Source organism: Homo sapiens, chromosome 15, assembly GCF_000001405.40.
Source record: "Homo sapiens chromosome 15, GRCh38.p14 Primary Assembly".
Lineage (NCBI taxonomy): Eukaryota > Metazoa > Chordata > Mammalia > Primates > Hominidae > Homo > Homo sapiens.
Genome location: NC_000015.10, coordinates 84,103,904 through 84,126,952, shown reverse-complemented (window position 1 = coordinate 84,126,952; position 23,049 = coordinate 84,103,904). Strand labels below are relative to the sequence as shown.

The following is a 23,049-nucleotide window of genomic DNA, read 5'->3' as shown; positions in this document are numbered from 1 at the left end:
CCAACAATTTAGAATCTAATCTGTAGAACCAGAAATGCCTTAGTCATCTAGATTGACTTTATGTGAACAGGAATTTCTCCTCTCACTCTGAAATAGATGGAACTCCAGCTTAGGCTAGAGCATTTACAAATTACTTAAGCAATACATTTTAAAAACAGAACTACTATAATTCACAGCAAGTAACTGATCTCCATGTTAGTTACTCAAATGTACTAAGTTAAAGATACCAGAAAAAAAAACTATCAATCTAAAGAATAAAGTTATTCCCTTCAAAAATTTCACTAAATTTTCAGTGACATGTTAGATAATCTCCTAGAATGGAGTAAGGATAAAATAAACAGCATCACCCTACCTAGCACATTTCCTGGAGGTACCTCCTCTAGATATTCCAGTTCCCTTCCCATCAGAAGATACAGGTTTTCCAGAGCACAGTATGCCATGTGGGGGACTTGGGGGAGGCCATCTGGTGGAGCTGAGAAGCCTAATGGTACCTGGGCAAAGAAAAATGATTGAAGACAAGTTAGGAGGCATTTGGAAGCATTAACTGGTATTTGTAAAGTTATTTTTATTCATCAGTAAGATATGGTATAGCAACATTTCATGTAAACCTGAAATATGAACATTTGAAATGGTGTGATAAAATATGCCTCACTTTATGAATAAAATTTGAAATACTGAAACTTCTCAAATACTAAAAAATTGTCTAGATTCCCATTTAATCATAAGCTTTATGGCTAAGTAACATAAATTCTGTTGTGACCTGGTATTGTCACTTTAGCTGATCCTCACAGTCCCTGGTTATTTATGTGAACCATGTCATACACCAGTTCTGGTGACTACTGTGCTATCATTTGAAAACTCATTATTACTATTATCCTTTCAAGTTGTTTTATTTATAATGTTCTTCAAGTATTCAACAAGGGCTGGTGCTAGTGCCAAGTAACATATAAAAATAACTTTGGAAGGGTAGTTAGATGTGATAAAAATGCCAAAAAAAAAAAAAGGCCTAACTGCTATTATATGCTATATTGTTCATATGGAAGAGCATGCTGTGATATATTAGGAACACTAATGAGAGGACAGAGTACATTTACAGCAAAAATATACAAGTACAAGTACATTAGATTTATTAGCTCCCCGTACATCATATTTATTCTTATGGAACTATTGTCTCAAATGATTCAAATTTTGTATTGTGTGACGTTTTCAGAAATATATCCACCATATAAATGCAAGTATCCAGAAAGCATTTCAATTAACCAATCAACCTATCTTTGGTGCTCATAGGCCTGGGGTGCTGCCCTAATGCTATGAAGAGAAAAAATGGCTGACATACAACATAAACAAAGATGATTAACATCACAAGCATAGGGTGACCAACAAAAAGGTAGTATAGGCAAGTAAATTCATAAAGGTTCAGAGTAAGGAGAGGCCCCTGTGCTAGGGTAGACTCTAGAAACTTCATGAAAATGATGACCTTTCAGGCACATGTTACATCTAAATGTATGTGTTCTGCTAAAATGACAACTCTCAAAGTAGCTCTAAAGATGGGCTGGAGGGATAGAAAAATTATAAGAACTGAATAGAAAGAAATGGAATTATCTACACAATATGACCATCCACTTAAAACAAGCTACAGATAAATTATAATTAGTGAGACAGCTTAGCAAGGTGGCAAAAATGCAAGATCAATATAAAAAAGTTAATTACACTTCTATAATTAGGAATAGAAAATGCATAAATAAATAGCAATAAATAGAAAATATGTAAATTTAAAACGATTTTTAGAATAGCAACAAAATATAAGATAGTGGGTAATAAATCTAATAACAATGATCAAAACTCTTTATAAATAAAACTATAAAACTTCATGAAAGACATTTAAAATGACCTAAATGAATAAATAAACCTAATACTTTAATGGATGGAAAGATGCTGTATTATAAAATGTTGATTCATGCCAAATAGGTGTATGGACATAAAGTAATTCCAATCGAAGCCTCAACAGGGCTTTTCATAGAAGCTGACAAGCTGACCATAAACTTGATATATAGGAGCAAATAGGAACAAACAAGACACTAACAAACAAAAACATGGTAAAGGGATTTGGTCTTTTTGATGTCAAACATTGAAAAATGAAGAAAGCATCGAACAGAGACAGTTAGAGACAAACAGAAAAAATAAAATTAGTCCAGAAACAGATCTATGTACATAGGTAATAATCTGATTTCTGAAAGAGTGGACAAAGCAAATTAGTGGATAAAGATAGACTACTCAATAATGTTGGAACAGCTGGACATTTATATGAGGAAAAAATGAACTTGGATCCCTTCTTCACAAACATTGAATCAAATATTTATACGTGAAAGGTAAAATATTAAACTTCAGAAGGAAACATAAGAGAAAGTTTTGTGACTTCAATATAGACTTAATATCAATTTTAAGATTTAAAAAGCAAAACCCATAAAATAATGATAATTTGACTATATTTAAATTAAGAACTTCTGCCTATTAAAGGGTACCAAATGGAAAGTAAAAACAAGCTTTACACTGGAGAAGAAATCTGCAAAATTCAAAACTGACAAGGAATTAGTATCCAGAATATACAAAAGACATCTGAAAAGCAGTATTTAAAACAATAAAGAAGCATAACAGAAAAACAGGGAAATGACTCCAAGAACTATTAATATCTTCACATGAGAACACAAGATTGATCAATAAATGCATTAAAAGAGTAATAAGAAAAATGTAAACTAAAACTCCAAAACACCATATCATACCCATCAGACCGGCACAAATCAAAAGCCTAACAAAACCAAATTTTGGTGAGCATGTGGAACAACTGGAACTGTTAAACACTCCTATTGGGAGTGTAAATCACAGCTACTTCAGAAAATAAATTGGAATTATCTTGTTAAGCAGATTACCAAGGCAACTCTGCTATAGGTATATTCCCTAGAATTTCTTGTAAATGTGCATAAGGAGATATATACAAAAATAATCAAGGTAGCATTGCTTAGATTTGAAAAAAAAAAACAACGAAAACAGCAAATATATAGTGACCAAAAAACTGTATAAATAAAACATACATTTAAGTAAAGGAATCCTATGCCACACTGAACAATAAACGAGCTACGGGAGGAGGCATTAACACAGATTAATCTCACAATGTTAAGTTAAAAAAAGGCAAGTTGTAGAATAACTACAGTAAAATTCCATTTATACAAAGTTTCAAAAGCATGCAAATGTGACAATATTCTTTAGAAATACATACACAGGTTGTAAAACTATAAAGAAAAACAAGAGATGTGGCAGACAGACTAAAGGTGCCCCTCCCATGATGCCTGCTTCCCGGTGTTCACACCTTTGTTTAGAAACCTCCTTCCCGAGTGTAAGTGGGACCTGTGACTTGCTTCTTCTAACAAACAGAATACAGCAAAGGTGATGAGATGTCACACTGTGATTCTATACCATCATACAGGACTCTGTCTTGCTAGGAGACTCCTTCCACTCTCCTATATGGCTTGATGAAGTAAGCCTCCAAGTTGGGAAGGTCCACATGACAAGAAACTGTAGGTGGCCTCTAGGAGGTGAGGGCAGCCAATGGCCAGAAAAAATCTGTGACTCTCAGTACTACAGGTGCAAATATATGAATTCTGACAACAACCTTTAGTGAGCTTGGAAGCAGATTCTTCATCAGTCAGTCCTCCAGATGAGAATGCACCCTGGCCAACATTCTGATTGTGGCTTTGTGAGACACTAAGGAGAAGATGCGGCTAAGCCATGTCTGGTTTTCTAACCCATAGAAACTGTGAGATGACAAAATGTGTAATGTTTCAAGCTGCTACATTTGTTGTAATCTGTAATATGCAGTAACAGAAAACTAACACAAAAGATGAACACAAATTCTAGGTAGAGGTTACTTTGAGGGTAGGTCTGAAATATTTCAGTTTTTTTTTAATCAGTTGGAATTAGGTTTTATGGTGCTCTGATTACTGAAATAAGAAGCCATTTGAGCTGTCAATGTATTGTATCATTCCTGCTTAAGATGTGAGACACATAAGCAACTGATTTCAACCTGTAGCAAAGACACATTATGCAGAGATAAATTGGATTGTTCATGGAATTTGTAATGCTAAATAAATCAATGTTTCACTAAATAACAATTTCTTGCTCATTTACCTTCACAAAAAAAGAAAAAAATTAACTGATACTTGCCCCTTACTGATAAACAGCAAACTATCAATTATGTCCAAGCCAAGATAATCATAGATGAGTTTTTATACATATCACTTTCAGACTCCCATAAAACATAACCCTATACACACCAAGTGCTGCGATCTTTCTTGCTAAATTAGAACATGCCATAGCTCAACAAGGACTGCTTCACTGCCACGCAGCAATGCACTCTCCAAGGATTAAACTGCTAAAACTCATGGAATAAGCATTCAAGGCAAAGAAAAACTGATGGCAGAGACTTACTTCAACTGCTACCTCCTTCTCTCTCACTTGTAGCCAAGTACCACAGCTTCCCTGGTTTATCTACAGACAGGCTGCTTCCTGCACAGAGAGGAGCATGTGTTTTTGTGCTCATGATGCTCCACGGTGCCAGCTGACAATTTCCTAGCTTACTGCTTTGTGCTGATCCAGACTGGCTACTTGGACCTCTGGCACTGTCTTCATCCTATGACCTCTATTATTTAATTATGATATAATTACATTGTATATATCTTGCTTACTTCCAAAAATGTTCTGAGACATCTCTAGCCTGTGATCTCTGTTTTGCCCCTTGGTTCAGGCATTTTTAGATGCTGCCTGCTCATCTACTTACAGACCCTCCTGTCCAGACTCAGGGTCTGTGTGCCATGCAACTCCTGCCTATTCCCTGCTCACTGCCCACACCTTTGGCCTGAGCCAGCTAGTTTTTGGATCTTCCTATTTCTCAGAGATTGGCCATTGCCCTGGCTCCAGCATGACATCTGCTCTTATCAGTTATTTTCTCTAACCACAAGGTGATTCTTGCCTAGAAGAGAAAAGCCTTATAATTAAATAAGGCCTGAAAATTTGGTCCACATATTGATTTGGTTTCCTAAATGCTACTAATTGAGACATATATGACAAATGTTATCAAAGCAACACAAAAGGAGATACACAGTCACTCAAGTGTGCCTTTCCAGAGACAAACTAAATCTACCAACAAGATGATCACCAGTCCCAACAAAATGTGAAAAGATATCAGACCCTTGAGAAACAATATATAAATATTTTACTTTCAATTCTTACCCTTCGTAAAAACTCAAGAGGACTGTATTTGGGCCCCAAGACAAAAATTTTCTTTCCTCTTCGAGCCACACCACTGAACACCCGAGCAAATGCAATAGAAGACTCTTGGTTGTTTTCTTCCTGGAGCACAGGTTTGGGGGTCATACTTTCCACCTGTTGCTCGTCACCTGACAGAAACAAAAAGATAATTAGTGCCAAGAATGCCCTCTTAATTCAAGAACTGTCTGGAAACACAGAAGGAAGAGCGAATATGATATGTTTGGTCTAGTTTCAGAAAAAAAAAAAAGAAAACAAAATACCAAGAATGAAAAGAATATTAATAAAAACTATGATTAAAGCTTAAAAAGCTCAAGAACTAAAGGATGAGTGTCCCAAGTTAAGCAAAAATGCAAACACTTTGCAACAGAGCCTACTTAGGAAAGCTATACCTCTTGGCTCCTCTCCTTTTGGACATGTTTCAATGGCACTCCCATCTTGGGTGGGCTCCAAGGGTGCCTGTCCCTGCGCTGCTGCAAGCTTCTCTGCATGCCTTTGTCTTGCACGCTCACGTCTCTGAGCAATTTCTTCTTGAGTGAGAGGCCTACAGGATATCACAAATATGTTATCATCTGGCAGCATCAAGCATCTCTCAGTTTATCCAAGTAGGGAAACAGCAAGTACTGACGTGGCTGGGTAAGATGAAGATTGGTCCCAGCTCCATTCCAGGCAGTTTTCTCTGAGTCCTCTCCCTGTCTGTAGCAATAAGAGAGGGCCTATCAGCCTCTCTCTAATAATGCTGTGTCCCAACTATTCTGAGCTTATGAACCGACATGCAAGAGCCCAAGTCCCCATCGGGAGCAATGTACAATAGTATGGAACCTTTCTCAGATACCTATATTCCTTCTGGAAAAGGCAAAGAACAGGAAGAAGGAAGGGAAACAGTGACAGATACTAGGGTTTGGAACGACTCTGGCAGGTAAACAAGCATAAGGCCTCAATAACTGGGGTTCAAGAGGAAGGGTTCAAGGTCAGGATGAGTACTGGCAATTCATCAGGACTAGAAGGTCAAACTGAAATATCAGCCACTGTGTTAGACCTAAGAAGTACCATCACAGAAAAGGCAGTGTGTGGGTATGTATGTGTGGTTTTCCATGGGGGTGAGAATGAGAAGGGGTGGGGGAGGTAATTAAGCTCTTTTTCCTAAAGAACTACCCTCATGTCTGTCAGGACACAGAAAAGGTATTTAGAGTTTTAATACTAAAAAGGTGTTGACAAAAGGGGAACACTAAGTCGAATACAAATTCTGTTTGGGAGTTTGGGTTTGGAAGGTAGAAACCAGGCAGGTAGACTGTTTCCTAGGACTTGGCTCCCTTCCCATGTAGGGGTCCTTATGAACCTACCTGCATGCTCAACCCCAACACATGAACAAGACCAAACCCTGTCCTAAGGCTGATAGATTAACAGCATCTTTTGCCCTATACTCTGGGACTGAGCATCAAAGCACTCAGGCTAATCTTCTGGTCCTAACTTTATGCTCCAGCTCTGGAAGCTGGACAACTCTTCATGGTCCCAACACTTTGTGCCTCTCTCCTGTGTTTTCCATCACCTTTAATATTATGATTCCTGCTTTATTTCCCAATCTCAGACTTCACACCTAACTGATAACCTTCATCCCCACTTTGCCATGCCATATTCCCCTCCTCTCTCCGTAAGCACTGGAAGCCATGCAGGTAGCTATTCTGCCTACTTGCCTTCCAAATGGCCACAGACCCTTAGGGCTCCTGATGCAAAGCGGCCTAACTCCTTCTACCTTTCTATTTCATGTAAGCTAACCTGCAAGGTGACTGCTTAAATCATTGACTGTCCACTGCTATACTCTTCAGATATCCGCCTGCTGGACAAGACTTCTCTAGTCCTAGTGTCCAGGACTAGACACTACTTCTGCCTTCCTTAGCACCTGTCCCTCAAAATCAATGAGTTTAGTTCCAAGAGTAGGCCCTTCCACTCACACCCACTCTGCTGCAGGTCACTGGGCTGTGCAATAGAATACAAAAATATGAGAAACAATCCTTGAGTCTAGCTTGGTCAGGTGTCTCGTCAGGCAATCAAAATTGCTGGCACTAGGTGGCCACACTACCACTGCAAGAGACAAGCTCCTCATTATAGGAAGCTCTAAATGTCAGAACTTTCAAATATAGAATGAACTCTGCTTCCTCACAATCTCTAGCCATGGCTGCAGTTCTCTCCTCTGGAGCAACATCTAACAAACCTACTTCCCTCTCCTTTCCTTTGAATCACCAGCATTCATGCCTTCCCCACCTTCCTTCTCTTCCCCAGGCTGAGCACTCTAGCCGTTCCTTCAACCAATCCTTTGACAACTTTCCTTGTTTCTAGACTTTTGCTAAAAACTCACATGAATATCTGAAAAGTGTGAATTAAAATATAAATGCAGAACACATTTTTATTATTAGAGTAGGAAGGAAAAAATACCAGAGGTACCTGCTAGCATCTAAAGAGAAATGGTCTCTTCCAACAGGTTTATCATGATTATCCAGAGACTGTTAATCACTTTACATATATTATAGCACATAATTTATCACAACAATTAAATGAAGTAGATATCATATTCCTATTCTACATATAAGAAAAGGGAGACTGAAAACTTAAGTAACTCGACCCAAAGTCACATAGATATTAAATGGAGGAGCCATAATTCAAATCCAGATCTGTATGGCTCTAAAGTCTATGCTCATTATCACCAGGTTATGTCTTTCCTTCAAGAGGAATTAAAGATGATAACATCATCATCTTAAGTAAATGTGATTTCACTTTAGTTTTAGTGAAAAAAGAAGTGTATTTGTTCACCTTGCAGATTAAATCCTCACCTGCCTAAGTTCATGAAGTGATCTGGAATAATCAGCATGTACAGTCATTAAGTAAGCATCAACTGTATAGATGCCTGCTGTCTATCTATGTATCTACTCATCCACCCATTGAACAACTACTGTGTGCCACGCATTGCTATGGGCACTGGGAATGATGGTAGAGGGGAACAAAGCAGATAGTAATCAGCAAGCATGTGTAAAAAGTACCCACTGTGTATCCAGTATTTGTTGAGAATAAAGAAATTTAATTACAAGAAAATGGGGCCCTACTAGTGAGGAAACAGTTGTGAGTGTTAAGTTATTTAGGCTATAGTTAAACTAACCATGGATGTTACTTCCTGAAGGGACAATAGTCACTAATACTGAGATGAAGGAGACCAGAGGTGAGAATGTTGACTGAAGATTCAAATGTCAGGTTGGAAGGTGAATTTGAAGAAGCAAAGAAAAGAGGCAAGAACACAAGAACAGAGGAGAAAGTCCTGTAACAGTCCCACACTTCATTTACAACCACAGCGGCACTGTTGAGCAGTGAGTAAAGGTCAGTGTTTTCATCAAGTTAGGGAAAAATTTTTTAGGGTTTGTGGGTGCCGAATCCTGTTTCCTGCCTTACTTTTCTCCCTGGCACATATCACTAATACATTGTACTCTATACTAAAGGAAAATAATACTCTGCTATTCCTGGCTTGTATATCTAATACAATGGAGATGAAAATGCTATCAAACCAAATTTCAATGATACATTTCCCCACATTTTACAAATAAAACTTAAATGAAAACAAGTCAGCTAGAAGATAGAAAAGAACAAACTAATGATGATGACCTTACCCAGGTATACCTGAAAACACTATATTATGATGTAACAATTGTTGAACCTGATATACTGGTTAAAAACCAATGACAAAAATAAAATCAGTAAAAAAACTTCATGGAATAGAATGGATTGCACTATCAGAAATATACTAAAATCAGAAAAGCATATGATGAATTATTAAGAAAAACATTCACAGAAAATGTAATTAATAGTAGAGGCATAATAATACTATTATTCATCAGCAAGAAATGGAGGATGGGTAGAGCTAGGAATTTTAAATGCTATAAATACATGTATTTCAAATATTAACAGCAAGTTTTCCAATTCTCTGATATTCCCTATGATTCTACCAGAATCTCTCAGATACTCCCAATGGCCAAAAAAATCCAATATCCTAAACTTGTTACTACAAGAAATTGTTACTACATGTAGCACTGAAATATTATCTGGGAGTAGCCTAGATACACAATTAGACATTCATTCATTCCATTATTCACTCATTTACTTACTCAGCCACTCATTCACCCATTCACTGACCTGTTACTCCCCCATTCGGATATTCACTCATTCATTCTTCATCTACTCACCCATCTATTCCTTTACTTATCCCCAGGGCAAAAATTATTGAATACACTTAATGTCCAAATCACTAGGGAAGTACTAAAAAACAACACATAACCTTTCCCCTGAAGGACAAACAGAATTTTATCAGAGGAAAAGAAGCCTTCTCAGATGGAGGAACAGCACAAGTACAGATAGGACATTTGTTCAGACACTAGTATATTAGAGAAACAGAAATAAAAATCTAGTGGAAACATGGTTTGGGGTCAGGTCACGGTGGGTCGGAAATGCCATAAGACAGGTCAAGTTTATTTCACGGGCTGATGATCTGACCTTCAGTCACTCACATATCATTTTCATGATTTCTGCTATATCTGCATATTATTTATTTAATACTTATTTAAATGCACAAACATTTTTAACTCAATAAAACTTCAAAATCTCATCACTGTAAAAGCTTTATCACTTGACATACACAGGCAATACACACAAATACACATTAAAATAAATATGACAACTAATTAAATTAAAACTTATTTCCCTAAGTACCACTGAAATCATCGCCAACACTTTACACTTGAATCAAAACTGCTCAAGACAGTGAGAATCATTAAGGGTTTTTGAGCAAGAGACATATCTTCATAGCTGAGTCTTATAAAGATCACTCTAAAGAAAGAATGGCAAGTGGATCAGTGGAACTAAAGATGGGGCAGGAGAACCAGCTAGGAGGTTGCTGCAACAACATCCACAAGAGATGATCAGAATCTAAACTAGCGGGGGAAGCAGTAGAGACAGAAGGAGGGGAACACACATAAAAAACAGGAAATGTAGAAGAGACAGATTCCCCAAGACTCTGGAACTTGAGGAATATCCCTCTCCTACACTCATCACACCTGTGCACACATAATACACACAAGGAAGCAGAGATCCTCATACATTCATAATTACTGAGGTAGGCAGAATTAGATGAGACAAGGCAGGCTTAGATTAGAACTCGCCTGACATGTTCAATAAAAGTTAATTGTTGCTACTACTGCTAACATACTCTTCAAACTTACATCACTTCAATTCAATATTCCAGAGCTGATTTCAACAACTTTCTCCTACAGAGGTATTGCAAAAGGATATACTACTGTATAAATTGTATGTTACCCTGGGGGTTGGCTTGATATGAATTCTGGGTTGAGGAGGAAAAGCATTATCCGTGCCCCCACTACCCACGGCCCAACTGCATCCCACCAAACATACACCATATTCCTAGCCCAGCCCAACTTTCCCCTTTCCCTTACCTTGGCTTATTCTGAGGCAAGGCCTTAGCATCAACTGCAAACATTTTGGAAACAAACATGATAACTGGAGCAGTGTCCTCACTTCCACATTTCATAAAAGCTAAACAAATAGGAAGTAAAAATGTCACTATTTTTCCCATTATTAAAAAAACAGATTTTTCTGGAAAACAATTAAATGTTTAGAACATGGCATCATCGATATACACCAGAAGTCCATAACTTTTTCCAACTAAGATAAAAATTTTAATTAGAAAAGGGTAAGATTGCTAGGAAAGAATAGCAGAGCAAGAGCAAACAGACTTGGCAGAAATAAGAAAAGAAAAGCAAGCAAATTTGACAGGGTGAGGGATCTCATATGAAAGCTAAAGCTATGCAATGAGGTTAACCACCTACCATAAGCACTAATACATTTTTCACTGTCAAGTACAGAAAAGACAGAATTGAGGAATGTTACCAAAGGCCAACAATCAACAAGGTAGCTTGTCATCACGATATATAAAAATCAATAGCTTTTCCAATCCCCCACAATAACAAATTAGAAAATAAAATGGACAAAAATACTGTATTATGATATTAACAAATTCTTAGAAATAAATTAAGATTCAATACTATTAAAATGCCAATTATCCCTAAATACATAAATTTTAACACAATTTCATATTAACATATGAACATTTTCCTTAACCTATATTGGAGGTAAAAAAACCATTGATTAATGAAATTTTTAAAAACAACTCCATCACCTCACATTAAAATAATTTGTATACAAAGAATTCAACAGTAAAATATAAACAAGAAAAAAGAAAACCACAGGAAGTAAGAATCAAACATGTATCAGAAGTCTTGCCAGTGGAAGCTTTGAATGAGGAACAGAATGACATGCCCTGACTTATACCTTAAGAGGATCGCTCTGTTTTGTCTGCAATATTGAGAAAACACTAACTGGAATCAACAAGCACGGATACTAGTTATTTTTTGTTGTTGTTGTCGCTGTTTGTTTGTTTTTTGACACAGAGTCTCACTCTGTCACCCAGGCTGGAGTGCAATGGTGTGATCTCGGCTCACTGCAACCTCTGCCTCCCAGGTTCAAGTGATTCTTCCGCCTCAGCCTCCCGAGTAGCTGGGACTACAAGCGCATACCACCACACCCAGCTAATTTTTGTATTTTTAGTAGAGTCGGGGTTTCACCATGTTGGCCAGGATGGTCTCAAGCTCTTGACCTCATGATCCACCAGCCTCAGCCTCCCAAAGTACTGGTATTACAGGCGTGGGCCACTGTGCCCAGCCCGGCCGGGATACTAGTTGTTAAACAATTAAAATAACCAGGTGAGAGATGGTGGTTTCTTGGCCCAGGGAGGCAGAAGTGAAAACATTGGGAAATAGTTGAATTCTGTATTTAAGAGGAAGAATAAACAGGATTTGGTGATGAACTGGATGTTGGAGTGTGAGATAAATATAAGGGCCATAGATGACTCCAAGGTTTTTGGACTGAGTAAATGAAAAGATTGAGGTCCCCCTAACTGAGATGGAAATGACTAGGTGAGCAGGCTTGGGGATAAGATAAAAAGTCCAGTTTGGGATATGTTCAGTTGAGATGCTTCTTAGACAACACAGTGTAGAGGGAGTTCTAGATATCAGTCCAGAGTCCAGAAAACAGACATGCTCTCAAGATACATAACTGTAGGAATTATGAGTATGTAGTTGTCATTTAAAGTCTTGAGATTGGACGAGATTATCAAAAGAGGGACTGAAGGTAAAATAGATGAGGATCAAAGACTTGAACCTTGCTTGGGGCACCCCAAAGTTAAAAAGCCAGGGAGATGAGGAGGAATCACAAAAAGAGATTATTAAGGATAAGCAGCCAGGGAGACACGAAGAAAAGCAGAAGCAAGGTAACGGAAGCAATGGAAGCCTAGAAGTCAAGGGAAGAAAGTGTTTCAAGGAGGAGGAGTGATCAACTGTGTCAAATGCTAGTGACAGATCTAGTCCTATGAAGACTGAAAACTGGCCATTAGATTTAATGAACCAAAAGTCAATAGTGATGCCAAGAACAACAGCGTAGTGGTTTGAGGGTAGGGTTACAAAAGCAATAGAACTGGAGGAAAAGAATTAGAGATAAGAAAATACATAGAGGCAAATTTCATGGAACGTACAAAGCCCAGAATGGGAGCTTCTTTTCTCATGAGAAGCATGTGTACAAGAAGTCGCTGGTCTCACCCTACTGGCTGAGCAAAATGGCTGTGACAAGAAAATCTTTGGGGTGAGGGTGGGAGGCAAAACTGGTGAAATGGTCATTTGTGAAACTGTTCATCTGTGGAAGTGGACATTTGGCAAATTGGCCATTTAGCAAACTAGCATTCAGCAAATTGGCCTAGAGCAGCCAGGATGGAGGACAGTCAATGACATGGTATATTCCAACAGGTCCATCTTTCCTCACCTGCTTTCAGTGCTTGAGTTTCTGGTGGAAGAGAGTCAAAAGTTTGTGATCCTGTGCACATCAGTCTCTCCATTCTCTGGGCTGTAATATCAAGGGGACAAGGAAGTTTCTGACATACCATAGCTGAAGTCTGTTGTTTAGGACTCAAAACCTTGAGCCAGTGCCTCCCCAAGGCGAAGATTCACTGTATGCTCTAAATATGGAGGTAACAAAGTCTGTCCATACACAAAATGCATGTGTTATATGGCAACACTGCTTTATGCATCACATCTCAAAACATGCATACAATTTCAGGGAGTTCACAAACTCCTTAAAGTTCAGAAAGGATCCTCATTGAACAGGTACTTTAACACTGAGGCCCATGGAACAAATGAGAACAGAGCTTAGCAGGTTGGCTACAGGTGACCTTGAAATGAAACAGTTATCTAACACAAACATCTAAATCATCTACTTATATTTAAATCTCAGTGTAAACATTTCTATTTTTACAGATTACTAAACAAACACAAAAGAACTGTCTTTCTAAAGAAGTTCATTAGTAATGTTAAAACAAATTAGTATTAGTGTATTAATTATTAAAGTATTTAATACAGTTTCATGGTAGAACACTAAATAAGCAGAGAAGACTTATTTTGGATTGAATGTTATTTCCAGAGAATTTCTTGGTTGCCATAATGCATTGTTTTTTCTAGCTTTATCAAAACTATTTCATTAAAAACCATTAGAATAAAGGATACCAAGAGCAGCATGGGGTATGGGTAGCCACTGACTGCAAATGGCGTTGATCTGAACTTTAGGGTCTGAATGTCGTGCCTCCCAGGCTCCAATTTTTAATCCTAAAGAAGTCACTATATTATCAATTTTGTCTTTGTCCCTATAGTAAATACAAGATTGGAGGGGGAAAAAGTCATACGCATATATAAACAGGCAGTGGGAGAAAGGAACCCAACATTATTCGGCATATTTTTACCCTAATGTGTTACTTTTTCAAAAAAAGCTAAAAATGATTGAAGGGAATCCTGCCACAGAAAAAGCCTCCTCAAGCTCTACTCTTACACTTTCAAGTGAATCCTTCTTTAAGATTTCCCAGGAAGTACTTCTCCACAATCTCCTCAAGCAAGCTATATCAAGTGGTAAAGCAGCCTTACAAATAAGTGCCAACAAGTTATTATTCCACCTCAGGAACAACTTAGAAAATAAATGCACTAAAGCAAACTTGTATCAGACAAGTTATTTCCCAAGTTCCCCATTAATGATCCTAGCTATCAAGCACCTTTTCTACTTTAATAACTATTTTTTAAACCTGGGTTTGGATAAACAAAAGCCCAATGTTTCTTTCCATCCTTTTATCTCTTCTCCTCAGCACTCTATAAAATATTGCTATCCTGTCCCTCCAGTATTGCCCTTTAGCTGGATTACATAGACTTCTTTAAATTGCTTCCAAGCCCTGTAATCAGCTCATCTGTAGAAGCTCTGTTCACTTTCTCAGTCCATCTCAGCTTTCTGAAGTATGACTCATCAAACTGGAAAGTGAGACAAATTATACTGCCTAAAGATGCCTAAAGGTAAACAATGTTAAAAGAGTCTTACTTTTTCAAGACAGCATCATACAAACTCCATAGATTTTCCAGGATCAACTGTACAAATAAAAGTTTCTTTCCTTTGGCCTGTACAAAAGAATATACGGGCTTAAGTTCCTGACATTTAATAGGCATTTGTATATTCCTTCTTGACATGCTTTTATTATCAATATGTTTCATTTCTACTTGAAAATATTTATTCAAAAATAAAGTAGATGAAAGTAGTTATAAGAATGCACTAAACTGCCAATAATCCACAATTAATAATAATCCACTGTTCTTTACTCTGGGAACCATAGACTTTACAAGTGATATGACCATTCGTGGGTCATATTACCATGGTTGCCATCAAACAAATACACACAGCACACAAGCCAAGAGCTAAAACTTCACTCTGCACATGTAGCCTCTTTCCATGGACTTCAGTCTAAAATTATGTTAGAAGAAACATAAAGCATTCTTAAGTATATTTCTAAAAGTTCGCAAGGATAGGAAAATTTTGAAAACCCAAAAAAACCCATCATTTCTCTTACCAAACTATGCAAAAAGTTAATAGCAAGAGCACCTTGAGGGGTATACGCTCCCATATACATGAGGTGGGATATATTAATAAATTGATACCTCCTTTCTGAAGAACTACTGGCAACAGTATTAAGAAATTAAAAGTCATTGGCTTAGAATGCTCAGTTTAAAAAAAAAGCATCATGAAGACATAAAACTTTTGCACAAAGACGTCTATTGTAACCCTACTTACAATATCAAAGCATTTGAAAAAAACTATTTCCAATCTTCAGAATGATTACATAAATGATAGTGCTCTCACAAAATAAAATAACAGGGTGCTTACTGAATTATTTCATAGAATCATAACTATCCTGTGAGATAAGTGCTATTATCTCAATTTTACAGATGAAATAACTGAGATAAAAGTCATAGAGCCAATAAGTGGTGGAGCCAAAATTCAAACAGAGTCAACTCTCAAGGCATGCTCTTTCCCACTTAGCTATATTCACTCCCTTTGAAATATATTGTTTATAAAAAAGCTTTTAATGGCAAGGGAAGATGTTCATGATATGACAAAAGCAAAAGGGCAGCTACGTTGTATAAACAGCATATCTCAACTGAGGGATGTATATATCTATGTAAAAAGGATGAAAGAAATTACAAACATCTACTAGCAGTGCTGGCTTCGATTTTTTTGTTTGCTGTGGCTTTATACTTGTGAGTACTTTCTCAAAAGCAATGTATATTATGATTTTCAATGAGAATAAATTTATGAAATCCTGGTTTTTACGTTAAAAAATAAAGCTCCAAGAAAAGTATCCTTTGAGGGTATATGACAGCATTCCTACACCACCTCTATCTATAGAAGGGGTTTCAGGGAGCACCCACCTCTCCCGATCTACACTGCACGATGACCAGCATGCAGTGAGATAAGGCCTCAGCTGAGACTAGAAGGACAGTGTGAACCATACAGGGATGTCTAAAAGAGACATCTCTTTATGGTGACAGATAATTGATAGTTAATCTCTTCACTAGTAAATGTGTCAATTATCTGTATGAAAATGATCCTTATGCCATAATTCATTTACAATAAATGTTATTTTATTGTTAATATTGCCAAACCTCTCTTTTCATTCATATTTGGTTGACATATCTGAGCCAAAGCTTTGTATGTAGCTTCTGTCCATTATGCTTTATGTTTATCTCTTTTATTTAGCAAACTTCTGGATTTATTTTTTTAATAAAATTTCCTTTCTAAAAAATATCTCCTTAGTAGGGGATTTCATACATTTATTGGTACAATCATTTATTGGTACAACTGTTTTGATCAGTTAGATTTCTAGTGTGGTTTCTTTTCTTCCGGGATTTTTTTAAAATATTGATTTGTGTTACCAGACTGTACTACACATTCTTTTATATTTTACAATGACATGTCAGATAAATATCCCGCTCTTAATTCTGGAAGTGGTAAACTTAAAGATTTTCATAAATAAACACTCCCAAAACCTCTATCAAAATCATAAATTATAGTAAGACACTTGCCCATTTGCTTAAGCTAGGCTTTTCTGGTCCATCATATAAAATATTCACACATGTGTACACATACGGGTACACAAATCTTTCAAAATCTTGTTTCTTGTCCTTTTCATTCTTTTTTATCCCGTAGTTACTACAAAATTTGCTTAACGTCAACCCATTCCACATTACTGCTAATGCTTTTATTTATTTTTGCCATTAATTAGTTACAATTTTTAAACACTGACAATTTCTAGCACTTCTCCATTCTTGAATTCTATTTTAATTCATTTCCTCTACAGAGTAACTGCAAACAAGATTCTAAGAGACGTGCAGAAAGATTTATATTCCAAGACTACTGATCTATTTGTTGCCTATCTTGCTGAATGACAACTCAGTCAAGTATGAAATTACTGAGCCACACACCCTTTTGCCCTCCAAGCTACCCAGTGGATTAATGTTAACTACTGAATTCTAAGACACAGTTATACAAAGACAAGTATATTTAATACAAAGGGCTTTTCATTGTCTCTTCTCTCCTGTCCCTCTTCTATAAGGTTGAGGACTCAGTTCTATGTATCTAAAACAAGAACTTGGATTCTTGATGCTACCCATCCAAGTCAATGTGCTTCTGCTTTTCAGCACAGACTCTCCCAGATTAACATCAATTAACAGGATAGATTTCGGGAGAAGACCTAGGTTCAGCCTCTAGTCACACTTCTTAATCCTTTCCCACTGCAGAGTTTATAGAATCTTCTTGCGAATTCTGGAATGTGCTCATTATCCACCTTTTGTGACACATGCAGCTGTCAACTTGGCCTATTCACTGACATTTTAGAGGAAAATGGGAAGCAAAAAAAGTCTCTGGTGCTTTCATTTCCACCACTACTTTCCCATAGATTCACATATCAACTTGTTGAGAACAGACACTAGCCAATCTCTAAATCTGACCTTGTCTAATACAGGGGAACATTCATTTATTGGCTGATAGTATCTAAAAATGTCAAAAGTAAGGGCTATGTAAATTACCCTTATTCTATCCATTCAACTTCCTCCCCATTCCTTTTCCTTCCACAATAAACCTCCCCCAGTTTGTGTGATTTAGACTAAAATTAGCATAAAACATTAAATTACTTATGAAAATCACTGTAAGAAAGGGACAAGCCTCCCACCTTGTGGCTTACTAGCAGAATGCTCACAAATCAGGAAATCAACAAGTATGACCCTATTATACGACTGAATGAATCACTGTGAATGAATCTGAAGAAAGTCTTGAAATCATCTTAGCCCAATATTCTTGTTTTTTCCGATAAGTAAACTGAGGCCTAGAAAGGTGATAATGACAATCCATCAACAATATATGAAAGTGCAAATTCTCAGCAGGTTCACAATTTCTATTTTCATCATATATGCATTACTTCAATTTATTTAGCTCTAGTATCATCTTTCGGGCATCAAATGGACTAAGATATCTATAATTTATTACAAACAGAAAATTATGATATTATATTACACTGCCCTGCCCAAGACAAAATCTGGTCAAAGGGAAATTGGAGAACAAGTTCCTGTAAAAAGGAAAATACATTTTAAAAAACGGAGCCAGAGATTTGTTAGGCTACTCCCAAGCCTTGCATTCTAGTCAGCTCCTGATCCTTTCTTTCTTTCCAATTCTAAGTCATACTGATATAAATTTCATGAAGAGACTCTGTTTTCTCCTAGTGCATCATTTCTAGTTCTATGATCCCTGCAAATTACATGCAATATCAAGCCCCAACTAAAGTAAAGGTCATTATGGTCCCACTATTATTTATCCAAACCACAGACATTTATCTCAAAGTAATAATCTTTTAACTACATTTGGATTTTTTGATTCCACAAGTCAGAAATTGTTGTAGTTGAAAAATGTGATCAATTATCTACTCCATTCTGAAATCCAAGGTCACTGTTAACACGGCCTCAGCATGTACAAATTCGGGAGAGGCAATAAGAAGAAATAAGGATCCTTATACCCCATAGGGAAGACCCCAGAGAAGAACCATGTCAAGAAAACACAGGCTTCAGACTCAGGCAGACTTTAATCTTAATATCAACTCTGCCTCTTAGCAGCTGAGTGATGTTGAACAAAAGTTACTTAATGTTCTTGAGACTTAGATAATAAATACTAATATCTATTTCAAAAGAGTGTTGTCAGAGTTTTTGGTGAAATAATTTAAATAAAGTGACTAACTCAATATTTAGCATACATACATCCTCAATAAAGCTAGACTAACTTTTGCTACTGTTGGTATCAAAGTTGATATAAATATAGTTGTTCATCTATGTATAAATAACTTTAAGAAGATAAACAAAAACTAACAGAAAATAAACTGATCTAAGGAATACAGTGGGATCCTTTTGTGGTATACATTTGAATTTATTCAAGAATAAAGTTAAAGTTAAAAATCAATTGTATATAAAATCTATAAAGAAATGCAAGACTGGCTCAATATTAAAAAACATCAATCAATGTAATATACCATATTAACAAGCTAAAGAAGAAAAATCATACAAATGTATTAATACAGAAAAGGTATGTGACAAAACTTGACACATTCATAATAATGACTTTCAAAAAAATAAGAATATTAAGGGACTTCCTCAACTTGATAAAGGACATCTAAAAACAGCCTGCAGCCCTAACATTATTTCTAATGGTGAAAGGCTTAATGCTTTCCTCCTAAGACCGAAAACAAGGCAAAGATGTCCACTCTCATCAATGTCAGTCATATAGTGCTGGAAATTCTAGCCAGTGCAATCAGCAAAAGAGAAAACAGCATGCAGATAGAAAAGGAAAAAAAATACAACAATTCCTGTTTGCAGACATGATTGTCTCATAGCAAATTCCAAAATATCTACAAAGGACTTCAAGTGAGTTCAGCAAGGTGACAGTATACAAGATCAACATACAAAAATTAATTGTATTTCTATATACTAGATGAATGTGTCAACACCAAAATTAAAAATATCATTTATAATCATTTCAGAAAAATGAAAAATTAAGTGTAAATCTAACTCAACATGCATAGCACTTATATGCTGAAAACTATAAAATGCTCATAAAAGAATTTTTAAAAATTTTAAATAAATGGAGAGGCATAGTGTTCATGGAATAGAAAAGATTCAACTTAGCAAATATATCAAAATTCTCTCCAAATTAACAGGTTTACCAAGCAATTTCCGTCAAAATCCTAGCAAAATGTTTTTTCAGATATAGGTAAGATTACTATAAAATTTACATGGAAAGGCAAAGGCCTTGAGCAGCAAGAGTAATTTTGAAAAATAAAAATATTGTGGACAGAAATAATCTACCTGATTTCAAGACTTATTATGTAGCTACACTAACCAAAATTATGTGGTACTGTTGGAAAGACAGACACACAGATTAATGGAACAGAACAAAACACTCAGAAGCAGACCCACACAAGTATGCCCAGCAAAAAATTGTGCATTTTGACAAAGGCACAAAAGCAATTCTATGGAGAAGAGATAACCTTTTCAACAAAGGGTTCTAGAGTAAATGGAAATCCATAGGCCCTCTCCCCCCACAAAAGAAAACCTCAACACAAGCCTCACACTTTATACAAAAGTTAACTCAAAATGGGTCATGGACTTAAATGTAAAAGGTAAAACTAAAACTTTTAGAAAAAAATGAGAGACAGTTTTTAGGATCTAGAGCTAGGCAAAGAGTTCTTCAACTTGACTCTAAAATCAAGATCCATAAAAAGAAAAGATGATAAAGGAAACTTCAGCCAAATTAAAAACTTTGCTCACTTTGATGGCTGGGCACGGTGGCTCATGCCTGTAATCCCAGCACTTTGGGAGGCTGAGGCAGGAAGATCACCTGAGGTCAGGAGTTCGAGACAAGTCTGGCCAACATGCTGAAACCTCGTCTCTACTAAAAGAAACACAAAAATTAGTGGGGAATGGTGGTGCACACCTGTAGTCCCAGCTACTCAGGAGGCTGAGGCAGGAGAATCGCTTGAACCTGGGAGGCGGAGGTTGCAGTGAGCCAAGATTGCGTCACTGCACTCCAGCCTGGGCAACAGGGCAAGACTCTGTCTCAAAAAACAAAAACCAAAACAAACAAACAAACAAAAAAACTTTGCTCACTTTGAAAGACCCTGTTAGAGTATATGAAGTCAAACTATAGACTGGGAGAAAATATTTGCAAAGCACAAAGGACTAGCGTTTAGAATAGAAAAAATCTCTCAAAACCCAGGAGTACCAAAAAAACACAATAAGAAAATGGGAAAGGATGTGAAAAGACTTTTCACCCAAGAGGACCTACAGATGACAAATCAACACATGAAAAGATGTTCAAGGTAAACCAGCTGTTAGGAAAACGCAAATTAAAACCACAATATCATATTAGTACACACCCAAAAGAACTGCTAAAATGAAAACAGTGACAACACCAAACGTGAACATTTGGAGAAACTGGATCACTCACGCATGCATTGCTGGTGAGAATATAAAATGGTACAGTCCGTCTGGAAACAGTTTGGTAGTTTCTTTAAAAACTAAACATACAACTACCATATGACCCAGCAACTGCACTCCTGGGCATTTATTCAAGAGAAATGAAACTTATGTTCACACAAACACCTACATACGAATGTTTACAGCAGCTTTACTCATAATGGCCCAAAAAGGAAAAAAAAAACAACACCAGATGTCCTTTAATGGGTGAGTAGTTAAACTGGGGTACATCCACACCATGGAATACTACTGAGCAACAGAAAGGAACCAACTACAGTATTAATGCATGCAATAACTTGGATAAGTCTCTAGAGAATCATGCTAAGTGAAAAAAGTCAATCCAAAAAATATTACGTATTTTTTTGGTTCCATGTCTATAATATACTGTTTTGATTCCATTTCTGTAATACCCTTGAAATGAGAAATTTGGAGATAAGATAAACGGTTGTCAGGGGTTAAAAAGGGTTTGAGGGTGGAAAGGAAGTAGCTGTGGCAATATAAGGGCAACGTGAGGGAGCCTTGTGGTGATAGAAATGTTTTGTATATTGATGGCAAATGGCAAAGTCCTGCTTGGTTATTGTACTACAGTTCTACAAAATGTTATCATGGATAGGAGGCAGTTACTGGGTAAAGGGCACCAGAGAACTCTCTGTATTATCTCTTACAACTGTAGGTGAATCTATAGTGATCTCAAAATAAAAAGTTTCACTAAAAAAAACCAATTGCATATAAAATCTGCAAAGAGATTTAATCAGATTCCAACAGACTTACCCAAAGCCCCACCCATCTATTGCACTGGTAAACACCACATTTCCCTGTTCTGGAGAGGAGTAAAGGTGAGAATCATCTGTGTCCTCCAAGCCAGTGCTCCAGTCATATACTTGCTCTCCTTGTTCAGAATTTGGATTCGCTTGGGATTCAGTCTCCCTCTCTGCTCTTTCTTCTAGGACTTTAGAAGTAAAAAGAGTCCCTGTGAGCGCATTAATCTAGGAGAGATGGTGAAATGGCAGAGCGTCATTCAGATGCTCAGCATGCTCACGGCAGGAGAAACACTGTTTAACCTGTGTTAGGGCTAGAATCATCAGTCAGTTTGGGCTCATTAAGCATACACGAATGGAGGTGACATTCACAATCAGTGAATAACTTAGATGTATCCATCCTTCCTAAACTCAGCGTAACTAAATTATAAGGTTTTTGGAAGGTTATTTTGTGATTATTATTATTAGTTTAATGTAAATGTTAGTGTGTCATATCCTTAATTTGTTTTTCAGTGCTGAGGCCTAGTATCACAAAGTACTCATGATTTCCAACCCCACAATCCTAGTTTGTAACCTTAGTCCACTGCCTTGCCCATCTTTCACATTGGTTGTCTGAAATGTGCACTACTCTCTTCAGGCCCTCTTCCCAAATCCTAATCCTCAACTACTTTCACTCCCAAATAGGCAGTAATCTTATGTCCTACCTCAGAAAGAAAATGGAACCTATTACTCGGATTTCCTTCAAGTGCCCCACATCCCAATCTACAAGCTCACTTATGTCTGCAAATACCACCGACCTTTCTCCTGCCAATGCAGGGCAGGAGTTATTTTACCTGTTCCTATTTCTACAGGGAATGATATCCATCCATCATTCTTTTTCACTGTTCTACTTTTATTGTTTCCTGCCTTTAGCAAATAAATATACTCAA

The 23,049-nt window shown here is 36.8% G+C and overlaps 1 pseudogene across 1 annotated transcript in view; it reads right to left on the bottom strand.

Annotated features, from left to right (window-relative positions):
• Positions 1-351: 351 nt before the first annotated feature.
• Positions 352-23,049, bottom strand: part of EFL1P1 (elongation factor like GTPase 1 pseudogene 1) — a 46,415-nt pseudogene continuing 23,717 nt past the window's right edge. Inside the window, exons 6-10 of the transcript NR_036652.1 lie at positions 13,246-13,326; positions 10,809-10,908; positions 5,712-5,863; positions 5,284-5,450; positions 352-491 (exon numbers count right to left, since the gene is read on the bottom strand). The product of NR_036652.1 is annotated as an elongation factor like GTPase 1 pseudogene 1 (transcript). The remainder of the gene's footprint in view (positions 492-5,283; positions 5,451-5,711; positions 5,864-10,808; positions 10,909-13,245; positions 13,327-23,049) is intronic.